The 7,863-nt window shown below is 45.1% G+C and overlaps 1 annotated feature.

Moving 5' to 3' along the window:
* Positions 5,038-5,107: a silencer, noted in NCBI's record as "silent region_16616". NCBI's record gives its function as "represses an Ori minimal core promoter by ATAC-STARR-seq in GM12878 lymphoblastoid cells {active_cell/tissue: GM12878}" and the evidence as "EXISTENCE:reporter gene assay evidence [ECO:0000049][PMID:35858748]".

The raw sequence follows: 7,863 nt of genomic DNA on the forward strand, positions 1-7,863 counted from the left end.
GTGTAAGAGAGGTTATTTGCTTCATTCTAGTACAGGTTGAACATTACAAATTGAAAAATATAAAATTCAAAACACTCCAAAATCTGAAACTGCACTGCTATAACACTCAAAGGGAATGCTCATTGGTGCAATTCAGATTTTGGATTTTTGGATTTGTGATGCTCAAATGGTAAGCATAATGCAAATATTCCAAAACCCCAAATAATAAAAACTACAAAACACTTCTATTCCCTGGCATTTTGGATAAGCAATAACCAACCTGTATAGATAGCATACCCAGCACAGCAATTACAGTGTGGCTACCACTTAGTTAAGTTTGCAATGTAGTTTACTGTCATCTGCCATGATCTAGCTGATTTTGCAGGGTCTAGAGTGGGAGATTAAAATGGAATATAATGAGTACTACCACCCTCGCTTCCTTTCAGTCTTTTAGGTTTAGCATACCATTCTACCCAAGAGACAGTGTTGTTTGTGATTTACTATCTTAGCCAGATTTATGGATAATGGAGTGGGGTAGGGAAGAGTAATTCAGGGGCTTTCACTTGGCCTTTCTTACTACAATAGTCTTTATTCCATAGGGTTATGGAACTAATGCAAAGTTCTCCTAGATGCTAGGTATATACAACCTGATTATACATTTGGGTACCAAGTGTGAGAATGAGTCCATTCTCACACTGCTCTAAAGAACTGCCCAAGACTGGGTAAGTTCTAAAGGAAAGAGGTTTAATTGACTCACAGTTCTGCAGGGCTGGGGAAGCCTTAAGAAACTTACAATCATGGCAGAAGTGGAAGCAAACACATCCTCCTTCACATGGCAGCAGGAAGTAGAAGTGCCAAGCAAAGGGAGCAAAGCCCCTTATAAAACCACTGGATCTCATGAGAACTCACTATCATGAGAACAGCATGAGAGTAATCACCCCCATGATTCAATTACCTCCCACCAGGTCCCTCCCACAACACGTGGGGATTATGGGAACCACAATTCAAGATGAGATTTGGGTGGAGACACAGCCAAACCATATCATTCCACCCCGGTCCCTCCCAAATCTCACGTCCTCACATTTCCAAACACAGTCATGCCTTTTCAACAGTCCTCCAAAATCTTATCTCATTCCAGCATTAACTGAAAAGTCCAAGTCCAAAGTCTCATCTGAGACAAGTCAAGCCCTTCCACCTATGAGCCTATAAAATGGAAAGAAAGTTGGTACAGGGGATATAGGCATTGGGTAAATACATCCATTCCAAATGGGAGAAATTGGCCAAAACAAAGGGGCTACAGGCCCCATACGAGTCTAAAATCCAATTGGGCAGTCATTAAATCTTAAAGTTCCAAGATCATCTCCTTTAACTCCATGTCTCACATCCAAGTCATGCTGATGCAAGAGGTGGGCTCCCACAGCCTTGGGCAGCTCTGCCCCTGTGGCTTTGCAGGGTACAGCCCCCCTCCTGGCTGCTTTCATGAGCTGGCATTGAGTGTCTGCAGCTTTTCCAGGCACATGGTGCAAGCTGTCAGTGGATCTACCATTCTGGGGTCTGGAGGACGGTGGCCCTCTTCTCACAGCTCCACTAGCAGTGCCCCAGTGGAGATTCTGTTTGGGGACTCTGACTCCACATTTCCCTTCTGCAATGCCCCAGCAGAGGTTCTCCATGAGGGCTCTACCCCTGTAGTAAACTTCTGCCTGGACATCCAGGCATTTCCATAAATCCTTTGAAATCTAGGCAGAGGTTTCCAAACCTCAATTCCTGACTTCTATGCACCCATGGGCCAACACCACATGTAAGCCACCAAGGACTGGAACTTGAACCCTCTGAAGTAATGGCCTGAGCTGTACATTGGCCCCTTTTAGCCACAACTGAAGCCAAAGCAGCTTGGGACACAGGGCACCATGTCCCAAGGCTGCACAGAGCAAGGGGCCCTGGGCCCGGCCCACGAAACCGTTTTTTTCTCCTAGGCCTCCAGTACTGTGATGGGAGGGGCTGCTGTAAAGATCTCAGACAAGCCCTGGAGACATTTTCTTCATTGTTTTGGTGATTAACATTCAGCTCCTCATTACTCATGCAAATTTCTACAATGGGTTTAAATTTCTTCCCAGAAAATGGGTACTTTTTTTCTATTGCATCATCAGGCTGCACATTTTCCAAGCTTTTTTGCTCTGCTTCCTCTTGAACACTTTGCTGCTTAGAAATTTCTTTCACCAGATACCCTAAATCATATCTCTCAAGTTCACAGTTCCACAGATCTCTAGGGTGAGGGCAATAGGCCATCAGTCTTTTTACTAAAGCATAGCAAGAGTCACCTTTATTCCCGTTCCCAACACATTTCTCATCTTCATCGGAGACCACCTCAGCTTGGACTCCATTGTCCATATCATTATCAGCATTTTGGTCAAAACCATTCAACAGGTCTCTAGGAAGTTCCAAACTTTCCCCCATCTTCTTGTCTTCTGAGGCCCTCTAAATCTCTAGGAAGTTCCAAACTTTCCCACATTTTCCTGTCTTCTTCTGAGCCCTCTAAACTGTTCCAACCTCTGCCTGTTACCCAGTTCCAAAGTCACTTCCACATTTTTGGGTATCTTTATAGCAGTACCTCAGTCTCTGTTGTACCAATTCACTGTATTTATCTGTTCTCACACTCCTACAAAGAATTGCCTGAGACTGGGTAAGTTATAACAGAAAGAAATTTAATTGCCTCACAGTTCCACGGGGCTAGGGAAGCCTCAGGAAACTTAGAATCATGGCAGAAGGGGAAGCAAATACGTTCTTCTTCACATGGCTTCACTTGGTTCTCAAGTGCATCTTCGCAGGAATCCCCATCCAAGTCTCAGGGTTCCATTTCTTCCCTATCAGGGGCCTGATTTTCATGGAGAAAACTTACTGGGACTACAAAGTTACCCACTGCTGAAGTTCTGCTACTCTTACAATACAATACAGTCCTATGCCTGGACTTCACATGGCACACGTCCTTCTTCACAAGGAGGAGTGCCAAGCAAAGGGGGCAAAGCCCCTTATAAAACCATCGGATCTCTTAAGAACTCACTATCATGAGAACAACAGGGGAGTAACTGTCCCCATCATTCAATTACCTCCCACCAGGTCCCTCCCATGACACGTGGGGATTATGGGAACTACAATTCAAGATGAGATTTGGGTGAGGACACAGCCAAACCGTATCATCAAGAAAATGATTAACAAGTATTATCTGTGAAGTCTTACAGACCCATTGTAAGAAAGACCTGGGTCAGGACTACATTCATGCCTGACCTGTAGAATCCCTACTCTAATGATGAGTCTTTGATGGTGCTTTAGTTTTGGAACTTTTGATCTCCTTTTCAGCACTCTGTCATGGTAGTTTCAGCATATTACCTCATATAACACAGGCCATTATTTTTTCCAAGTACCTAAACACTCTTCCTCTGTTAATTATAACTTCAAGGCCCCTTGTCAGGCTGTTAAATATTGCGTTGTGGAAGAGAATCCTCATATCAGCAAACACTCCTTTAGCCAGATAAATATTCTACCACCCCAATTTCTGTTTCAGCATCCTCAAGGTACATTTGTAAGCAAGCACCCCGTATTCTTGCTAGTACATACTAGTCTGTTCCTACAGATCCTTTGGTGAATAATCCTTTTCTACCCTTAGCAGAACCAGCACTTCCCCAGGTGGGTCATGCTGAGACTTAGCCCTAGTTGTTTGCCTACTGTCCAGGAGGGGTGTGGGGAAAGATCTTGAGGAAGGCAGATATTGTTTTGCAGGTTATCTGCCTCAGTTCAGGCCCCTGCACAGTTTCTGCAAGGAGGGGGCTGCTGTTGTCCTCTAACAAGGGCAAACATTTGCCCAGAATGTTCAAGGGAATCTAAGAGTTAAATGTTCTCAAGTGCATCTTCCCAGGTATCCCCATCGAAGTCTCAGGGTTCCATTTCTCCCCTATCAGGGGCCTGATTTTCATGGAGAAAACTCACTGGGACTACAGAGTTAGCCATTGCTGAAGTTCTGCTACTCTTACAATACAATACAGTCCTATGCCCGGTCTTCAGCACAGTTCGCTTTCCAGCTACAGTATATGGCAGTCTTTTTTTTTTTTTTTTTTTTTTTTTTTGAGATGGAGTCTTGCTCCGTCACCCAGGCTGGAGTGCAGTGGCGCCATCTCAGCTCACTGCAATCTCCGTCTCCCAGGTCCAAGCGATTCTTCTACCTCAACCTCCCGAGTAGCTGGGATTACAGGTGCCTGCAACCATGCCCAGCTAATTTTTGTATCTTTAGTAGAGATGGGGTTTTACCATGTTGGCCAGGCTGGTCTCAAACTCCTGACCTCAGGTGATCTGCCTGCCTTAGCCTCCCAAAGTGTTGGGATTACAGGCGTGAGCCACTACGCCCAGCCAACAATCTTTTTAAATGCTGCTGAAGAGGACTTCTGACTTCACATCTTGCCTTAAACTGGTAACTGTCTCACCTGAGCCTGTCATTTTCTCTCATGCATCAACAGCATCCAGCAACAATAAACGAATTCTGCAGTCCCTTAAATTATTGCTTCCTCTGAATTGTACAAGCCAATGCGACCCCTTCCAGCTGTATTCAATTCTAATTTTCCACAGGTACATATTTCACTAATGGCAACGATATAGCATACCAGGCACTAACAACACTTCCCTTATGATCAGTAATAGGGTCCTTATTGCCATCTGGCCAGCAAGTGATTGAATTCCAAATCTCATCCTTAGAGTCCATTTCCTAGGACAATTACCAGTTCCAAATGTCTTAAGTAGGGTTATTCAGAAGCAGAATATGAAATGAGAACTTGTGTGCAAGTGATCTATTAAGGAAATGCTCCCGGGAGAAATTGGAAAATGAATAGGTGAAGGAGGATAATGGAGGGAAAATGCAAAGCAAGGGTGCAGTCTCAAGCAAAGTCCTGTGGGTGGGTAGTTTCAGCCTGATCCCACAGGGGAATTTCAGAATATAAATTATGCCTCAGAGTTTGTCCTGACTTGTTGCAAGGGAGCTGGGCTTTCATACTCCCACACCAGCCAGTCACTGGCTGAGACCCACCCATCTCAGGGTGGGTGGATGTAAATTCTCAGGCACTTCTGACTCTGACTCCAGTAGCCAAGAGCAGGCCTTTAAAGAGAGCCTCAGGTGTGGACGGTTAGAAGCAAAAGCCTCAGGAACTGGGGCGAGGCAAACAGAAACCATAAAAGGGGATCTGGGTGGAGCCCAAACAGTATCCACTATGTGCTTGTTATTTTTCCTCCCCAACTCTCTTTTCACTCCTCTGACCCTGGAGGAGAAGAGCAAAGTGGCAGAAACGGTGAAGACACAAACTACATTAGAATAGGCTAGGTTAAGTTACAGCTGTGGTAACAACCCTAAAATCTCAGCAGCTTACCCCCATTCAGTTTACCTTTTGCTTATGCCTTGTGTCCTGTGTGGATTGTGAGGGGCCCTGCTCTCCATGGTCACCAGGGGTAAAGTTGTTGGAGGTTCTGCTGTCTTGTTCTGCACCATCTAAAATCCACAGCCTCCTCGTGTGCTTTAATAGGAAGAGAGAGACCAGAGGGTCGCGCTTGGCTTTTCTTTTTTTTTTTTTTTTTTTTTTTTTGAGATGGAGTCTAGCTCTGCCGCCCAGGCTGGAGTGCAGTGGCGCGATCTCGGCTCACTGCAAGCTCCGCCTCCCAGGTTCATGCCATTCTCCTGCCTCAGCCTCCCGAGTAGCTGGGACTACAGGCGCCCACCACCACGCCCAGCTAATTTTTTTTTTTTGTATTTTTAGTAGAGACGGGGTTTCACCGTGTTAGCCAGGATGGTCTCGATCTCCTGACCTCGTGATCCACCCGCCTCGGCCTCCCAAAGTGCTGGGATTACAGGCGTGAGCCACAGCACCCGGCCTGCACTTGGCTTTTTAGTGTGCTTCACCATAGGTGTGACAATCATGTCATTAGGCAGAATGGGTCACCAGGACTTGCCTGACTGCAGGGAGGCCAGAAATGTAGAGGATCCAAATGGTGCATTTGGTGAGAATTGTCCCAACCACACCGGTCTTTGTCACTATGAGCTTCTAAGTTTAGTTTAAGCTTGAGCTGGGTGAGAAGGAGGTTATTTTTTTGAGACAGGGTCTCGTTCTGTCACCCAGGTTGGAGTGCAATGGAGTGATCTTGGCTCACTGCAACCTCCACCACCCTGGCTCAAGCTATCCTCCCACCTCAGCCTCCTGAGTAGCTAAGACAACAAGTGTGTGCCACCACGCCCAGCTAATTTTTTGCATTTCTTGTAGAAACAGAGTTTCATCATGTTGCCCAGGCTGGTCTCAAACTCCTGAGCTCAAGGGACCCACTCGCCTTGGCCTTCCAATGTGCTGGGATTATTGGCATGAGCCACCATGCCTAGCCTGAGAAAAAGTTTTATTTTATTTTATTTTATTTATTTATTTATTTATTTATTTTTGAGATGGAGTCTAGCTTTTGTCACCCAGGCTGGAGTGCAATGGCACGATCTCGGCTCACTGCAACCTCCGCTGCCCAAGTTCCAGCAGTTCTCCTGTCTCCACCTCCCAAGTAGCTGGGACTACAGGCGCCCACCACCACACCCAGCTAATTATTGTATTTTTAGTAGAGACAGGGTTTCACCACATTAGTCAGGCTGGTCTCGAACTCCTGACCTCAGGTGATCTGCCTGCCTTGGCCTCCCAAAGTGCTGGGATTACAGGCGTGAGCTTCCGCACCCAGCCGAGAAAAAGTTTTACATCAATGTGAAAGTAAAACGTGGTAACTAGACTTTACAAAGTGATTTTGGAAAAGGTATGAGATTTGCCAGATAATTTTTTTTTTAATCATCAAGGTAGAGGGAAATGGTTTTACCTAGCACAGAAGATATGTAGTCACATGAAAGAATAAGATTCCTAATGAAAAACCAGAAAATAGCCAGAATCCCTAACTGTATAGTACTGATTAAGTAGATAATAAACATTCATAGGGTGGTGGGTTAATTAGCCACTTAAAACGATGTTTCTGGCCAGGCGCTGTGGCTCACACCTGTAATCCCAGCACTTTGGGAGGCCGAGGTGGGGAGATCAGCTGAGGTCGGGAGTTCGAGATCAGCCTGACCAATATGGAGAAACCCTGTCTCTACTAAAAATACAAAATTAGCTGGGCATGGTGGCGCATGCCTGTAATCCCAGCTACTCGGGAGGCTGAGGCAGGAGAATGGCTTGAACGCGGGAGGTGGAGGTTGTGGTGAGCCGAGATCACACCACTGCCCTCCAGCCTGGGCAACAAGAGCAAAACTCCATCTCATAAATAAATAAATAAATAAATAAATAAATAAAGTTTCCAGAGAACTTTTAGTAACATTGTTAAATGTTCATAATGTAATGTAAGTGAAAAAACTCAGTATATAAAGCTGTATATGAAAATCCCTTCCCATCTTTTACCTAGATTACTGTAAGCACCCTGATTGTCAGCCACCCTCCAGCCCCTGTCCCTCCAATTTGTTTTTTTACAGTGCAGCCAATCATCTGCCTACAATATCAAGCAGAGGCCATACCTTGTTTGCAGGATAAAATCCAAATTCCTCTTCATGGTTTGCATATATCTCTCCCTAGTCAAGCCTCCTCTCCAACTTTATTTTTGTCAACTACCCATCTTATGCTCTAGTCTCAAACTTATAACCTCCCAGCCGAGATATTTCCTCTGAGCACCAGATGTGTGTACACAAATGACATCTCTCTGTGGATGTCTCATAGGCATCAAATTTATTATTTTACTTATTTTATTTTGTGAGATGAAGTTTTGCTCTTCAGGGTCTTTCTCCCATTATCTTGATGAATAGTACCTGGCTCCCTTCTAGTCATTTAATCTCTTTAGGAAATT

This window comes from Homo sapiens, chromosome 5 (assembly GCF_000001405.40).
Source record: "Homo sapiens chromosome 5, GRCh38.p14 Primary Assembly".
In the NCBI taxonomy this organism is placed as follows: Eukaryota; Metazoa; Chordata; class Mammalia; order Primates; family Hominidae; genus Homo; species Homo sapiens.